We start from the raw sequence: 18,846 nt of genomic DNA on the forward strand, positions 1-18,846 counted from the left end.
TCAGCTGATTTTATTTAACAGAATTTCTGCCAAACTTTATAACTTGACAAGTCTTTTGAGATTTCCTGTTGAGAGAGAGAAAAGACTGCCACAAATTCTTTGCCACTCTGTCCATGGAGGAAAGTAATCTTCTTTCACTCCTCTGAATTTGGACAACATGTAACTTCTTTGTTCAATAATGTAGCGAAACTGACACAATGTCAATTCTAGCTAGCCTTTGAAGTGACTAGCAGTTTCTTCATTAGTATCTGGGAGCCCTGATATAGTATGTAAAAGACAATATGGAGAGACCTGAAATGACCATTAAAAGAGAGAGGTCCAGCTGAGTCTAGCCTTCCAGCTGTAACCACCAACACCTAGGTATGTGAGAAAGCGTTGTGGAACCGGCACTCCAGTTTATGACACATAAACTCTCTAATTTCTCTATCTCTGTCTTTTCTCTATCTCAGGCCATTCAGCCAAACCTTCTCCAAATTTTTGACGCCAAAAAAGAGAAAAAATAAAATGACTGTTTAAACCCTCAAGTTTTGGGAGTAGTTTTTATAGATCAAGAGAAAACCAAAATATTTACAATAGCATTTTCCCAAAAAGTTACCAATAAATACCATTTCTGAAACCAAATTTCTAAAAGGTGCATGATTTTAAGGTAGTTTATTCTTGTTAAAAACATAGTAACAGATTAAAATTTAAGAATAAAAAATAAGTGAGAACACGGTTTTTGATATAAAAGAATTTTTTGAGTGTTTGAAACCGTTTTTAATCCAAAACCTGAAATACATAGATTACATGAACACCCAGGATGCTTTATTCTTACAATAATGCAATGTAAATATTTAGATATCTGAAACGAAGTATAGCTAGATTATCTAGTATAATTAGATATACCTAGTCTTATGCAAGTAGTAAGCCAAATCAAACATAAAAATTATCAAATAAATCTAAAAAAATATACACCAATCCAAGTATTTTAATACCATAATGTCCAAACTGTGTATGGACTATAACTTGAGAGACTCTGTTTTGACTAATTTAGTCAATTTGTAAAATTAAATAATTGTTGTTATGTAACATATTTCCAGTATGCAGAATTTAAACTGTATAATGCTAATTACAGATCAACATAAACTAAAATGGTTCCAGGCAGTGAACTATGCATATTACACAAAATGTCCTATCAAAGGACTTCTTTTGTTTCCCTCCTGTCAATGATAAGGTAACTCTAATTGCTGAAAGCAGATGCTTATTAGCATTTAAAATGCACGTAAATTGACCATCAAAAAGAAGTGCTAAAGAATTTGGTCCATAGATAAGTGCCTCTACTAAAGTGTAGAAGTAAGTAGAGACTGATAGATATCTGATCACTCTGACAAGAACTGGGTGGGATGGATGGCGGAGAAACAATAAAAGAAAAACAGTAGGATAATATTAAAGGCTGTTTCTATTATGGTAAGTGAATCGATATTTCTGCGTAGTTAAATTTCACATGAGTATTAACATCAAATAAGCATTGCATTTTTAAAGCACTGAGAAATCAAAGTCTACAAATTTTGTATAAAACAGAAAATTATGTTATTTAATTAAAATGAACTCTCCTAAAAAGAGGTAGAATTGTTTTTATCTTTTTTTCCCCCATTTTTAGGTCCTTTTAAGATCATAATATAATTTTAACTATATTTTCAATGTGACTAAGGGTCATAATCACACAATTTCTCAATTTGTATCGGTACTTTATTAACTACTTTCCAGTATGACATTATACAAGTATGGCAAATAGACTAAAATTTTTAAATTACCTTATATTTCCTAATTTGTTTTCATCACATGTGATTACAATAGAAAGTAATGTAAATTATCAGTGAGTCTCCTAAATGTGAACATTATTTTTTTTAAAAAAATTATATTCAAAGTACTGAAGAATATGTATTTCTCCCTTTGGTTTTCTTGGTAACAGGTAATAAAACACATTTAACCATAAATTATTCCTGGGAGCATTATATATCTATGCATATGATAAAGCAAGCTGCAGCAAAGAGATACATATTCTAATAAGGTGTTTAGATTATATTCCCATTGCATACATGCAAGTGTTTGCCAAAGTAAATTAAGCTGGAAAGATATCATTTTCTTGTTACTGATAGAGTTCATCTATATTCAGTTGCATTTCCTTTTTAATATACATTTTACTATCAAATTTCTTCAATCTCTTTTCCTCCTTTAGAATAATCTTCCCTTACTTTTTCTCATTATAATGGTCGTAAAGTGTAAAGCATATCTTATGAGCTCTTACAAGAGCACTGAGCAAGATAATAAATTTCTATTTTTTGCTCCCAAATGTTAATACCCATTTTAATAAACATAAGCCAAACACTGTATTTTCTTTAAATTATCTAACATGTTTTAGTCTTCTAGATGTCTAAATAACGTCTAACATTAAGGGCTCCTCGTTTTTTAATTCTAATAAAGCTCTTCAAGCATTAAGGAGAAAGGAACTAGGTGAAGTGCTTTTTATATAATTAAAACAATTATCACATCACTTTCAAATTATTCATTAGTGTGTTTCACATCTACAACCTGTGACCTCTCCAATGACAAGATCATGTCATCCTAATTGAAATCACCAGAGCAAACCTCCATGTCTGTTACATAGGGAGTTCTCCAAAAAGTTTGACTGAATAAATGGATGGGTGAGTAGGTGGGTGGAAAGACTGAAGGATGAATAGAATAATGCATCGACTTTCTGAAGAGGAAAAATTATGATGGAAAACTAGAGAGCAGACATATAAATGCTTTATATCACTATATATTGTCAAAGAAAAATAGCGTCATGATACTTAGCATAAATTTGGCCCACTTTTGTTCAGCACAAGCAGAGCTAATTATACACAGGAAGGCATCTGAAAGAATTCTGAAAGACAATCTAAAATAAAATCTTTAAATTCATTGATGTCATCTCTCAAAAAGCAGTGCTTAGACATGCATGTAATTATGCAAGTCAATCATTTACATAAGAAGCATAAAAGCATCCTACAGCGGCAGAAAATTAATAAGAATAATAATTTATTCAAGCATCTGAGATACCAAGATATGAGTTATCATCCTACACAATATCATTTGTAAATTAGAGCAATGGCACCAAGGAAAAGATATTATTATTCTCTCTATTCAAAGGTACTGAAAGCAAAAGTACAAATCAGAGAGTGAAATATAGTTTTAAAACATGTCAACACATCAGCACAGTTTGGCTGAGTGGTCAGACCTCTTTCTTTATGCCATGTTGTGTGGCTGTCTTGTTCACTTCCATCTGTATTTTCTTGCTGCTCACAGTGTAATCCTCAGCAATCACACTGTAATTAACCGCAAGTATGACTTCTCCAAATTTACCAATAAAGCAACCGTTAATGTGCCCACCTTATCAAATTGTTTAACTTAGACTCAAGAAGAGTGCCTAATCCCATTTTTATGTCAAATTAGGCACAAAGTTATTAACATTTGCCTTTATATTTCACAGATATACAGATTGGCCCTCACTCTCAAAACTAAAATGAAGATTTTCTTATTTTCTCCAGGCAGCTTCCCTCTCTCTAAAGATTATATGCAAGTTCTATAAGGCTTGGCTGGAAAACTAATAATTACTGAGAAAGTCCATGGGACCTTTTATCCCCACAATCTGTTGTTGAGTACCCATGAACAAAACAACTTGCTTATCCTCTTTCAGTTGTACAATTCTTCTTTTCCTTTAATTAAAAAAATTATTTAAATTGACATATAAAATTATATGCATTTATTGTGTACAACATGATTTTTTAAAGTATATATACATTGTGGAATGGTTAAATTTAGCTAATTAATATGTGTATTATCTCACATAGTTATTTTTGTGGTGAGAACACTTAATATCCACTCTCTTAGCATTTTTCAGGAATACAATATAACATCATTAAATATAGTCACCATACTGTGCAATAGATCCCTTGAACTTATTTCCTGTTTTTTAAAAATAATTCCAACTTTTATTTTAGATTCGGGGGTACACACGCAGCTTTGTTACATGGGTATATTGCATAAAGTTGAGGTTTGGGGTATGAATGGTCCTATCACCCGGGTAATAAGCATAGTATTCGATAGGTAGCTTTTTAGCCCTTGTTCCAAGTAGTCCCCAGTGTCTGTTGTTGCCATCTTTATATTCATGTGTTTCCAGTGGTTAGCTCCTGCTTATAAATGAGAACATGCAGTATTTGGTTTTCTGTTTCTGTGTTAATTCACTTAGGATAGTGGTCTCCAACTGCATCCATGTTTGTGCAAAAGATGTGATTTCATTCTTTTTATGGCTGCCTAGTATTTAAAGGTGAATATATATTTTCTTTTATCCAACTCACTGTTGATGGGCACCTCTGTTAATGCCACGTGTCTGCTATTGTGCATAGTGCTGCAGTGAACATATAAGTGCAAGCGTCTTTTTGTTAGAACAATTTATTTTCCTTTGGGAATATAGGCAGTAATGGGATTGCTGGGTTGAATGGTAGTTTCATTTTAGGTTCCTAGAGAAATTTTCAAACTGATCTCTACCGTGGCTTAACTAATTTCAATCCCCACCAACAGTGTATAAGTGTTGCCTTTTCTCCACAGCCTTGCCAGCGTCTAGAATGTTTTGACTTTTTAATAAGAGCTGTTCTGACTAGAGTGAGATGGTATTTCACTGTAGTTTTCATTTGCATTTCTCTGATGATTAGTGATGCTGAACATTTTTTCTTCATATCTGTTGGCCTCTTGTATGTCTTCTTTTGAGAAGTGCCCGTTCATGTCTTTTGCCAACTTTTTAATGGGGTTATTTGTGTTTTGCTTGTTGAATTATTAAAATTCCTTTTAGACTGTGGATATTAGACCTTTGTCAGATGCATAGTTTGTGAATATTTTCTCCTATTCTGTAGGGTGTCTTTTTGAGTGTGTTGATAGTTTCTTTTGCTGTGCAGAAGCTCTTTAGTTTTTGTTGCAATTGCTTTTGAGGACTTAGTCATAAATTATTTTCCAAGGTTTATGTCCAGAATAGTATTTCCTAAGTTTTCTTGCAGGATTTTTTTTTATAATTTAAGGTCTTATATTTAAATCTTTATTCCATTTTGAGTTAATTTTTGTATATTTTGAAAGGTAGCGGTCCAGGTTCATTCTTCTACATATTGACAGCTAGTTATCCCAGCATCATTCATTGAATAGGGCATCCCCTCCCCACTTCGGTTGTAAAATTCTGATACAACTGAATTTATGGGAAGCCTGGTCACCAATTACCAAACTTATATATCTACTTAACAAATATTTAATGTGCTAAGCACTATGTCAGTCACAGAGAATACAACATTAAACAAGACAATGTCCTTGCTTCCTGAAGCCTACAATATTGTGACAGAGTGAGAGTGAGATAGACAAATCAATATACAAAGAAGAAAATACCAAATACTGATTAGTATTTGAAAAATGGAAAACAAGAGAATGCAATATCTATGAGAGACAATATGGATACTGTAGACTAGAAAGTACATGATTTGTGTCTCCTCTCCCTAAAGGAGGCAGTATTCCTAGACATGTTCGACCTTCGGTATGATGTTTCACATGGAAAAACAGAGTACAAATCAGAGAAGAAGAGGAAGAGCTGTTTGTTGGTAGAAAAAGCCCAGCACTGGGGAGGGGTAGCATTAGGAGATATACTTAATGTAAATGACAAGTTAATGGGTGCAGCACACCAACATGGCACATGTATACAAATGTAACAAACCTTCACGTTTGTACATGTGCACATGTACCCTAGAACCTAAAGTATAATAATAATAATAAAAAACCTCAAACAGAAAAAAAAGGAAAAAGAAAAAGCCCAGCATTACTGTCAGAACCAGTGTATCCTCAACCATGGGAACGGAGAAAATGTTTGTCTAAAGAAACAGAGAGGCAGCTAATTAAAGTTCTTGCTCAGGTGTTCCGAAGGCACCAGTGAGAGTAGCCCTCAGACAGCCAAGGAACCTAAACAGAGATTATAAATACAAGTGCAAAAAAAGAGGAGTAGATAAGCTGAGAAATCATACCTGAAAAGAACAAGCTGTATCTTCAGAAAAGGAGAAAGGACATTTCAATAGAGAAAGAGCAATACCAAGACCCTAAGTAGGAATAAATTCAGAGTCAGAGGGCTCCAGGAACAACATAAAGAAGACCAATGGGTTTATAGTGTGATGTTGAAGAACAAACTGATACTAAAATAGAATAGATAATTTGGTACTTAGGAAAGGTCCAGATATACCAGGGTAACTGGCTAGGGGTTTGTTTTAGAAGGATGAGGAGCCATTAGATAATTTTAAACATAGTTGTGACATAATTTGGCATAACATTAAAAAAATAAAGATCACTCAAAATACTGTACGTGGAATGGATCAGAATGGGGCAGGGGTGGAATCAGGGAGACCTGTGAGTAAGCCTACTGTGGAAGCTCAGACAAAAAATAATCAGGGCTGAGCCCAGTAAAACAAAAAGGAAGGGACACATTTTGGAGATAACATTGTAGAACTTGCAAATTTAGTTAGATAGCGGATGGTAGGAAAAGCAGAATTGTGAATAATTCTTAAATAACTGGCTTTAGCAACTGAGAAGACAGCTGTTTCATTTTCTGAGACAAGGAGTCCTGGGAGGAGAAGAGTATTTTGGCCATGTGTAATCTAATTTGAGTATCAGCATTGACGAGGTATAAACTAGAAAGCTGGACATAAAATCCTGGGCTAGAAGAAGTGTTCAACTTCATAGAAATGGCATTGATAGTTGTGATAGTTGACGTTATCACTAAGGGAAAGCACATAGACAGAAAAGAGAAGATAGCCCTGGAATGAGTCATGGGGTAGGATAATATTAGGCAATGAATAAGCTTTGGATTAAAACTATAACAAGTCACCACAAACTTAATGGCTTAAAACAATGCAAATGTCTTATCTTAAAATGTTGGAGGTTTCAAATCCAAAATGGATCAGAGGAAGCTGAAGGAAATAATTCATTTACTTGCTTTTGCAGCTTCCAGAAGCTGCCCCATCCCTTGGCTCTTGACTCTGCATTCCTCCTACCACTGATTACATCATCACATCTCCTTCCCTGACTCTGACTCTTCCACCTCCCTCTTTCTCTTATAAGGTTCTTTGTCCTTATGTTGGACTTATCCTCCTCATTTCAAGATCCTTAATAACATATACAAAGTCGTTTTGCCACATAACATATTCACGGGTTCCAGGAATTAAGACGTGGACATCTTCGTGGGGCCATTACTCTGCCTACCACAGGCAAGTAAGAGTCTGGATTCAATTGCACAGACTGTAACTTTAGAGCCTGCATACCAGAGTGTTTGTGGACATCAGCTACCCCTTTAAATTTCTGTGGATGGAGGTGCAATTTGGGGGAGAAAAAAATTTACTAGCCTAGTCCAGTAAATTTATAGCATTTTTAAGATGAAAAATATTAAAGATCACCTAATATCCCTCAATTGTTACACCGATGAGAGAAGTAGTAGAAAGAATTCTTCAATGGGTTTTAGAGTCACTAATTGGTGATAAAGCTAAGACTTAAGTCCAGGTCATTTTACATGCAGCTCCCTACACTCTCCTCTCTACAACATAACATGGCTTTTAATAAATTCATGTTGGATTGCAGACTACCATTTGCTGGACAGTTTGGGGTTGAATCCTGGCTCCATCACTTATAAGATAGTACCTTGGTTATCTCTGTCCCAAGTTTCTCCATCTGCAACACTAAGAGAATAATAGCATGTACCTATGAATGTGTTTATCAGGGAGTCGGGGTTCCATCAGGAAAAAAGCATCAATAGCAGTGGTATGTAGCATGAAATTTATGACATATATTAGACCTACAAAACTGAAACTGTGGTGCTCCCTTGCCTGCATTTCCTGACATTACTTGCAATTTTGATGAGACAATGGCACCAGTTTTGGCTAAGCTATGAACAGAAATAGCATGTTCTATTTCTAAGCTGAGTAATGTAAGAGCTACTTTACTATCTACACCTTGCCTTTTCCATGGCTGTTGAGAATAATGGTCTGCTATTGAGAATACAGAATTGCAGAGCCTGCAAGAGAAACCCCAATGTTCTTTGTCAGTCTTTGTGTAAGGAAAAAACTGTCTTATACCAGTAATATCTTATTTGTTACTACAACATAACATATATGAAGTTGGCATATTTTTAACTCAAAAAGGTCAAATTTCAGCAAATCTACATGTTGCAACTTGTTAGTTAAATCAGATGAATGTAATATGTTAAGAAATGTTTTAAGAAGTCATTCAATATAATAGAATGCTAATTATACTACGAATTGTGAAATTGGTTACATTTAGCTGATGATATTGTGGTTCCACAAAAATAATCTTAAAATTTTTATTTGCTTACTTGGATACTTTTGAAAAGACATGCAAAAGAAGAGAAGGAAGAGATATCATAATTAAGTAAAAATAAAGATGATGTTGAATGATTATTGCAAAAATCAACCAAAAGGCCCAAATTCATAGCGGCTTTTCCAGTGTTTTTTGTTCCAAAGGACTTTTAATTTAAAAAGAGGAAACTAAATATTCCCAATTACAGTGTCGGAAATTCTATGTTGCACTTTTCTCTCTCATATTTCAGTTTACCTCTCCTCATATTATAAAGCTAGAATTAGCCTGGAGAAATTTTCTATGCAGAAAAATGATAGAAACCAAAAGGTTGAAAAATATCTTTGAATTCTTCTGGCAGAATATTCCTGCTATTTGAAGCCTACATTATCAGTACACCATTGCTACCAAGTAGGTATCCAGCATCTATTTATTTCAGGGACAGGAAACTTACTAGCTATGGGAAAGCAAACAAACAAAAAAAGAGAACAAAACCCTCTCTTCAGCCAGCTATATCATTAGAAAATTCTCCATTATTCAAAATGAGTTATTTTAGTCTGTATCCATAGGTCCTATTTTTGTTCTCTGTGGATATATAGAGCAACCTAATTATTTCTCGTAATTGTTTATAGCAGAAATAAAATATGTGTGTCTATGTGTCTCATAACACAAACTAATACCAATATATACACATGGTTTCCTATTTAGTCTTAATAAAAAGTTCCAGGCCAAATTTCAACTAATCTTTCCATGCACCAGCTAATTGGAAGGGCAGATTTGTTATGGTAATTTTTGGATAACAGACTGTAATAGCAATTCCCTTTTCATCAAGAAAAAAATAGAGCACTCTGCCTATTCAGATGCTATATCCACCAACCTAAATGAATACAAGAAATAAATAAATAAAAATTTTAAAAGACAGAACTGAGACAGAGAACAGTAAGTAGGGCAAATTCATGAATTCATTTATGCCTTTGGCTAAAATACATCCCTCAAATCAGTTTGAAGCTGTTTGCACGGTAGGGTGTTTCACCTACTAATGATTTCACAGCTGGCACGCGCATGGCATCAATGTTTATTGGCATCCTCAATGTCAGTTATTTTTAAAAAGCTTTCTTCCAGGACTCTGAATAAATTATCTATCAAGTGCAGCAGTGCATGGCAACATCCAAGACACAATTTGCAGTCCTGCACCGGCTTCATTATTTGGTGGAAATGAAATCCCAAGTCATTAAACTTTTTAAAAAATGAAGGCAACTTGTATTCAAAATACAAGCAATTGAAAGATTTCCTCGGTCATTCTTTCAGTCCTTAATATGCGTAGTAATGAGCCTGGAAACAGGTTCAATCCCTCAGCAATTGTTTACCTTCCTTTGAAAGACAAAAGTTGTTTTCTGTCAAACACATCACAGAAAAAGTTCAAGCAGGCTAGTTTCATTCTATTCTTCTGGGAATACTCCTGGAAAATTGGCCAGGAAAAAAGACGGCCCAAGCAATGATGATAAGAAATAACATACTCTGAAATTTACAAAGTTATATGTTATAAGTCAACAAACTATATAGGCCGTCTGCTGAATAACTCCGTGATTCATAATTCTATGTCTGAAGATTTTTTTTTCCTTCCTCACATATTGTAAGCTTTAAAAAATATTAAGGAGATGGAAAGAGCTTTACCTTGATCTGGTTATATAGGCCTTATCAATTTCATGCAAAATGGCAATACTTTCTTGACAATGAATTTCTACATATCTGTAGTCTCTCCTGCTGTGTTTACTATGAATTTTGATGATGCTTTATGTAAGCCTCAGAGCTATTTGATGTTGTCATACCTTTAATCCATGAACTGAGATTCATAGTCCATCAAACAACATTTAGTCACAAACCAATATGAAGGCAATGTTATCTAGCACAGCTTGTTTTGCTGTTGGTTTATCAACGCAACAAATAATGATACAGCGTAACATCTTTATAATGTGAATGTTGAGGAAAGCCTTAAACACTTACTTATAAGTTAACCAAGCATACCTGTGATTCCACTCTGCATTAGAGTGGAATCTGTGGAGTTAAAAAAAAAAGTATTCTATTGGCATTATCCAGCAAAGTTTAAATGCAGTTAAACATTTGATTATTGTGGTTATAACATGGTTATTCTCCACTGTAGTTAAGTTCCATGAAGACAGACACTTTTTTCTTCTTCAGTATATTTGCATAATTTAACATGTTCCTGGCATGGTAGATACATAGCCAGCATTTGTTCAGTGAATGAATATATAACTGAAAGTGACTGGCATATTTGGATTCTTCAGTCTTCCTGCATTCAATTGACTCTACTAGAGCAGGGGTTGCATTGAAAATGTGCCTCACAAATAATCACCATATCTTTTTGGTGTTCCAAGTATTGTAATGACAAATTTAATAGAAAAATACTAGCACTGAATGAAATTTAGAGTTAATCCAGGATAAGCTGCTAACCAACACCAGAATACTCTTGATTGTGGAAGGCAGCTTCTAAGATGATCCTAGCCTCCTGATCTTGATGCCTTTTGTAATATCATTCCCTTTAACATTCAAGGGAATGCAAGTACTAGCTTCTAATTTGGCAAATGTGAAAGAATGTCAGTTCTGAGATTAGGATACAGAAAGTCTCTCTCTCTCTCTCTCTCTGTAATCAACCATAGGTGTGATTTCACTGTGCATTACAAATATGTTTTAGACATAATTTAACCTGTGGTATATCTGAACCTGTGGAATAAAAAAAAAAGGCAAGGACTGTTCTCACTGTCAGAGTCCCCTGTCACATTCTGTGCCCCATTTCTCAGACTGGGAAAAACAAATTGCCATGTGTGAAGAGCCCTACGGAGAGCTTCATGTAGCCCTGTGAAGAGGTCCAGGAGCCCTTGAAGAACTGAAGACTGACAACAATCACGTGAGTGAGCTTCGAAGTGAATCATTCAATGCCAACCCAGTCCTAAGAAAACTAACCATCCGTCTGAAAGCTTGGTTACAAATGACAGACTGAGAGTCAGAGCGACCCAAGCTGCCTCGAGATTTCTGACCCACAGCAACCCAGACATAATAAATGTTCGTTGTTCTCAGACACTAAATTTTGAGGTGACTTGTTACATGGACTGCTAATATGCTGAAAGTGTGATTCTTGCTCTCAGTGAATATATAAATCATCGACTATAATTTAACATGTGTATCAATGAGGAATTCATGGATGTAGGAGAGCCCCAATGAAATAAACATCTTCTTAATTTCTTAATTTTAAGTTGAAGTATGCCATCTTATGATATCCATCTATCAATTATCAATAAATAAGACATATCATTCTTCTTACATTATATTTTAATAAGGGAGACAGGCAGTAAGCACATTTAAAAATAAACAAAGTAATTGCCTATTTTATTATATACTAGTAGGGAATGGACAAGGTAAGAGGTTGGGTGTAGGCTAGGTCTGAGGCTCATGCCTGTAATCTCAGCACTCTGGGAGGCTGAGCGTGACTTGAGCACTCTGGGAGGTGTGAGTATGACTTGAGCTCAGGAGGTTAAGGCTGCAGTGAGCTACATACCTTCCAGCCTGGGCAAAAGGATGAGACCCTCTCTCAAAACTAATCAAATACAAATAAATAAATTTTTTTTTAAATGCAGGATGAAATTGGAGAAGGTCTCATTAGATGGTATAGCAAGGAAGGCATCTCTTAGAAGATGATATTTGAACTGGGTTTAAAGAATAAGAATCAGCCAGTCATATGAAGAGCTCTGGGGGAAGATCAGTTGAGACAAACAGAACAATAAGGATGACATCCTGGAGGTGAGAAAAAGCTTGTTAATTTTTGAGGAATACAAATAAAGACAATTAGGTTGAAGCATAATGAGAACTGGAGGAAATGGTTGCTTAGTGATAAAGTACGAAAAGCTGGCAGGGGCCAGGTGTTGCAGGGCTTTGATAGCCAAGTAAAGGGGCTCCCTTTTTCTTCTCTTTTAACACAATTGGAGGCCATTAAAGGTTCTAACCAAGAGGATATCATGACTTACTTAAACTGTCATACTTGGGCCTGCATAGGCCTTGTTAAGACTGTGCCTTAGGTATGTATTTGACTCTCTCAAGTATATCAAGGCCTAGGAGTTAAGGCTAACATGTTATTTCATGGAAATTACTAAATTATTTATTCTCTCCTCTTGCTGGTAGGGAAACTTTTGGCTCTCTTTCTTTAAAGAATTTTCAGTCAAAGGATCCCTCTTATATTCAGAAAGAATGGTAATCTCTTCTCTAGAATCTCTTCTTTTCAACTTGACCCTTGAAAAATCCACGACAATTTCCTAAGTTTAGATCCTGGGCTGAGAACGTACTATTGAAGAAATCATTATAATATCAATAACATAAAACGAGGTATAGGTAACAGACTGAATGCCTCCAATATGCAAGAAGTTCTAATCATGGCATTAGAAAATATCAGTCAACAGCAGTGCAGTGTAGAAGGTGTGCTACATTTATACTATTTCTTGAACATCTCACACCATCTTCTTAGTCTTTGATCAAACATGAGAAAAATACATTAAGGTCATTGTCTCTGGGTATATAGGTTAACTATTGCTGTGTAACAACAACTACAAACATATATAAAATCTCAGTGGCATAAACAATTACACAGATTGGCTGGAGAAGCTCTGCTTCTGGCTGTGGTTCAATTCACCTTTGTTTCAGGCTGTGAGTCAGCTTCATGTATTTTCTTATGGGCCTAAACTTAAGGAATAAAAGCTACTTTGGACATCTACTCATTGCAGAAGTTGGGAACAACAAGCAAGTAAGTAAAACAAATATGTAATACCTGGGCTCATAACTGGTATATGCTGTCTCTTCTGCCCACATACCATTGGCCAAACCAAAGCACAAAACAAAACTCACTATCAGTGAGGGTGAGCACTACACTTTGCCTATGAAGAAGTACGTAGGGAGAAGAGTGATTATTTTTTGAACACTAATATAAGCTACCACACAGTAGGTAACCTATTCCTATCCCTACAACAGAAATACATGGTCATTTTATAAGAACTCTTGGGCTGGATTGAGGTAACATTTCTGACTAAAGCTAAGTTGTAATCTGAAGGGTTTCTGGCCCCCATAGGTATTCTCTTTAGTTGGCCACCTTTCTTTCTTGGCTGTATAGTTCTCTCTGTCCAGCTGATACGTATAGCCATCCAAATAGACCACTTCCTTATGCCTAGTATAGTCTCCATTCTGAAGCCTGTATAGTGTTGATGGCATAGTTTACACATCGATTGTTGACCTAGGTACATCACCTCTAACAATTCTAAACTTAAACAAAATGATCGGCTGGGCACGGTGACTCACACCTGTAATCCCAGCACTTTGGGAGGCAGAGGCAGATGGATCACCTGAGATCACGAGCTCAAGAACAGCCTGACCAACATGGTGAAACCCCGTTTCTACTAAAAATACAAAATTAGCCGGGCATGGTGGTGCATACCTGTAATCCCAGCTACTCGGGAGGCTGAGGCAGCAGAATTGCTTAAATCCAGGAGGCAGAGGTTGCAGTGAGCCGAGATCATGTCATTGCACTCCAGCCTGGGCAACAAGAGCAAAACTCCGTGACACACACACACACACAAACACACACACACAAACACACAAAATTCATGTGATTTAATAATTAGACTTTTTCATAGAAACAAAAAGTGATGTCATCTGGTTTCTACCAAAACAGGAGGCTGAGCATGTGCCATGAGGAGGTTGTAAAAGTGCCTTGGGATCACAGTGTCTCAGGATAGCAGGAAAGGATCCTCTGCTCTTGGGTTAACTTACTACTACATCTCCCTCCAGAAATGTGTGTTTGAGGTTTTGGTGTTGCTTCTGTGAAAATTGTTTTTGTCAGAAGTGAGACAGTGATAATGGTGTATGTACTAATTCTTAAATAACAAACATCTAAAGTACAGATGTCACCCTGACATAAATTAGGCATGCCACATTCTATACATTCATGACTTCAAATTTTTCTGAGACTTTCCTCTACTTTTCAGAGAAATAATATTTGGGGAATTTTAAAATCCAGTCAGAAATGTTTGCCCTTGACATCAAACTTTAGGTCAACCATGAAACTTCTATTTTAAAATCATTATCTAGTAAAAAAGATTATGAAATATTTTCCATAAAAATATATTTTCACATGTAGATAAACTTGTTTGTAAAAAATTAAATTTCAGTTGGTACATTTATTAGAAAGCATGTATTCTATAAGGTTTTAGTAAGCCACTATCATATACTATTAAATGGTCATAGATAAAGCATATAAATATGAGACAATGCTTTTCAAACTTCTGTGTTAACATTATTTGTCTAAAATTTTTTATGGTGTGAGATAACTAAATTACATTGAAAATTTATATATGTGTTTCTGAATATTGTTTCAAAAACAATTTTTAAAAATATTTAATATATGGAAAATAATCTACCCATAGTGTTCATAGAAGTGTTCATGGTAAGACTTTATAATACAGCATAATTTTATTTCTCTATCAGTTTCTTTACATAATTTACCTTCAACATGCCTACATAAAGTCAATTTTTCAAGTATTTTACAATTTCTATGGTCAATAATTTAGTTTTCGAAATTGTAAAAGTGAATTATAAGGGAAATTGGTATACAATCATGTATTTGAAATGGCATCATTGTCTGGGGTAAATACCCAGGGCATTCATTGGCTCATGCCAAGAAGACTAAGGATAAGAAGATTAGGGAGGTTTAATAGGCAAAAGAAAGAGAAAGGAGAAGAGCTCTCTCTCTTACAGGAGAGAGGGGGTTCCCAAAAGGGAAATCTGTCCCAGAGTAGGAGTGCACCAGATTTTATAGGTAGGCTTGAGGAGGCAGTGTCTGATTTACATAGGGCCCATGGATTGGTTGGACCAGGTGTAATGTTTACATAATGTCCTAGAATTTCTTCTACATTCCTGTTTGTTCTCTTTAATTTATTTACTCCATTATCTTTTACCTCTGTTACATCCATTCAACAGGAGAACTCCCATAGAATGAATTCTCAGTTTTCTTTTATTTTTTGTGCATGAGAAATACAAACTAATACTCCAACCCACCTATTTCTGTGAATTACTTTCATTACTATATGCCCAGCCTTCCATTTTACCATTACTTCTGCATTTCTCATTGAAATTTCTGTTATAAGTATACTGAAAAGTTGTTCTAGCTCTCTCACTCGTTTCTCTCTCCCTCTCTCTAACACACACACACAGACACACACACACAGACACACACACACACACACCATTGCCATCGCCAAATTTCTGTCTGTTAATAGCCCCACCACCTTTGTTATTAGATTTAAAATCTTCTGATCACTTTCACTGTCTCTCTCTATCGTTCATCACATCTCTCTATTGCTCATTTCTGAAAGTTCACAGAATATCTTTCCTTTCCATCCCTATGATTACATTAATTTAGAAATTCAGTAATTTTCCATTCAGCTTATTACAATATATTGACAAGTATCTGTCTTTCTGTAGCCTCTCCTGCCTCTGGGATATCTTAACATACTAGTCTTTTACAAAGCATATCTGTGAACACGTTACTTTCTTGCTTAACAGCCTTCCTTTGTTCTCTGTGGACTGTGGAATAAAAGTCAAACTCCCTAGGACAGCTTTGAAAATTACCCCCCATTGAATCCTGATTTATCTAGCCAACAATTTTCCATTTTTAACCTTCTATCTTTGCTCTATGAGCTATGTAAACTATGTCTGATTTTACCTCCACTGTATCAAAATTTACTGTTTTGCTTATTCAAGCCTATCTGCCACAATTCTTCATTAATTTCCATCTGTCCAATTCTTCATATGTTAATGCCCAGCTAACACGACACTTCTTTTACTTATGCACTCCATGGAGCTTCTCTGCAATTTATTGTAATATATTTATTAAGTAATGCATTGCTTATTATCTTTCATTAGGTCACATGCTATTTTAGGCTTTCATCTTCGTGAATATCTAATATATTAAAATAAAGTTTTTCAATGAGTGAATTAACAACATTTTCAAACTTAAAGTTCAAAATGAACTTTTCAAAATTGAAATAAAATAATATTCTGGAAGGATGTTTGATAAAATAAAAAACTATCAATATGTTGATATTATCTTGCTCTTATAATTTTAAAATGTATTGTTATTCTAAGTAAGATTATAATTTTACTTCCTTGTCAATTTTTTGTCCAAATACAAACAGGGACTATGTGAAATTGTCCATCAGAGAAAATAAGCTCCTCCATGTTCTCATACTTTCAAGGAATCCGTCTTCCTGAGAAGACGTGATTGCTTCTTACAAACGTTTTTGGTAAAGTATGATATAATCTAATCTTCATTTTTAAAAAGTATTCTTGGGATATAATTCACAAAACATACAATTCACTTAATTAGAATTTAATGGTGTTTAGCATATTCACACGTATGGGCATCCATCACAATGGTCAATTTTAGAAAATTTTCATCATTTCAAGAATAAATGCTGTACCATTTGGCTATTATGCCATATCCCCCTCCTGTCCTGCCACAAGCAACCACTAACCTACTTCCTTCTTTATAGATTTGCATACTCAAGATGTTTTATAGTAATGCAGTACTGTAATAATGGACTGGAATCTTTGACTCAGCATATCAATACTTCATATCTTTTTATTACCAAATAAGGTTTCTTTGTATAGATATAGAAATATAAGATATACCAAATATAAAAATTTGGTAATTTTTTATTTATTCACTTAACACTTGATGGACACCAACTGTTATTTCTATTAGAGATCCAGAGAAAAAAGGGATAGTAGGAACAATGATATGTAAATGTTTGAATGTTAGTATTTTTGATTACGTTTTATTTACTTTCATATTTTATATGCATGCTTTAAGAGTCTTTGACACCAGGAAGAGAAGAACAAACAGACATGCCAGTTTCACCTTCAATAGCTGATAGTTGTTGAAATAATTTTACATGGTTGAAGAGAGACGGGAGCTGAATATATTTGATGTTTCTGAAAAGTGGAGAAACAGCAGAGAGATTCAGAATAAAGAGGCATTAATTATTCATGTACCAATGCTTCTTCATTTTACAAAAAGGAAAGTTGTCAGGCCAGGCATGATGGCTCACGTCTGTAATCCCAACATTTTGGGATGCCGAGGCGGGAGGAGCACCTGAGTCCAGGTGTTAAAGACCAGCTTTGGCAACACGGCGACGCCCCCGTCTCTACAAAAATAAAAAATTACCTGGGCGTGGTGGCGCGTACCTGTAGTCCCAGTACTAGGCAGGCTGAGGTGGCAGGATTGCTTAAGCCCTCAAGGTCAAGGCTACAGTAAGCCATGATTGTTCCACTGCATTCAGCCTGGGTCACTGAGTGAGACCCTATCAAAAAAAAAAAAAAAAGAAAAAGAAAAAAAGAAAAAAAAAGTTGTCAGTAGCTCACCACTTTTTAAAGAGTTCCTTTATAGCTTGATAAGAATAATGAGTAAATACCAATAGAGCACTCTCTCTACTAAAGGATTACATTGATTCATTGTATTAGGCTAAGTCATATAAAATTGCTCTTTTTACAGGTGAAATATATTGTCTAATACGGTTAAACTTACTAGAAATGTCTAGAATGCACTGGTAGAAAGAAGTTTTTCTTCATTTACTTTTTTAAATGTGGTAGTTAGTAAAGGAAAGATAAAGAAAAGGTAGACAACAAAGGAATATGTCGGTACTACTGTCATAATAAACAAATATCACATCAAACCACATTAGAAATTTTTAAAGTATCTTTTTCTTCATACCATTTTTGAAAGAATTTATAGCCATAACTTTTTTAGTGGGCATTCACCCTTCATAGAACTAAATTCTGCTCATCTCTCCAAAACCCTTGAATGCATAAACCAAAATTGGTCTCTTTATAGGCTGGCTAGTAACTTATGACTTGGTTTAAATCAGGTGACACTGAGCAAACAAATTCACTAATGAGAATTGGAAATAAAAGAAATAAAGCAATGCGGAAGAACAGACAAGAAGAAAGTAACTCATACTTACAGATCCACTGCTGTTCCTGTTAGATAAAGCCTATTTCACCATCTGGATTCCCATAGAAAGTTTACGTATCCATAAATCAAATCTACATTATCCTGATTGGTTTCTCTTTAGATATATCTGAAAGTACCCTCACCACAAGATGGCTTATAAAGTAGGAGAAAAATCTCACCCATCTTAACAGTTTGTCAAATTTAAAACTAAAGAAAAACAATCTCTGCTTTCAGTTGTGCATGTCCTAGCCAAATGAATTCAGTCACTCTTATTTAGATGTTTATTTTAAAAACTTAGCATCGGTTTCTTTAGAAAGATGCCTTACACAGAAAGGTTATAATTTCATCATTTCTTCTGTGTATGACATTTTTAA

General features: G+C 34.9%; 1 long non-coding RNA gene across 6 annotated transcripts in view; it reads right to left on the reverse strand.

Moving 5' to 3' along the window:
- LOC105377177 (uncharacterized) overlaps positions 1 to 18,846 on the reverse strand; it is a 250,124-nt gene that overhangs the window by 223,527 nt on the left and 7,751 nt on the right. Inside the window, exons 2-3 of one of the 6 annotated variants that reach the window (XR_007096258.1) lie at positions 17,707 to 17,822; positions 16,834 to 17,454 (exon numbers count right to left, since the gene is read on the reverse strand). The exons of the other annotated variants lie outside the window; for them this stretch is intronic. This is a non-coding gene — a long non-coding RNA (uncharacterized LOC105377177). Of the gene's footprint in view, positions 1 to 16,833; positions 17,455 to 17,706; positions 17,823 to 18,846 lie in introns of those variants that run through there. 6 annotated transcript variants of the gene reach the window in all.

Source organism: Homo sapiens, chromosome 3 (assembly GCF_000001405.40).
Source record: "Homo sapiens chromosome 3, GRCh38.p14 Primary Assembly".
NCBI lineage: Eukaryota > Metazoa > Chordata > Mammalia > Primates > Hominidae > Homo > Homo sapiens.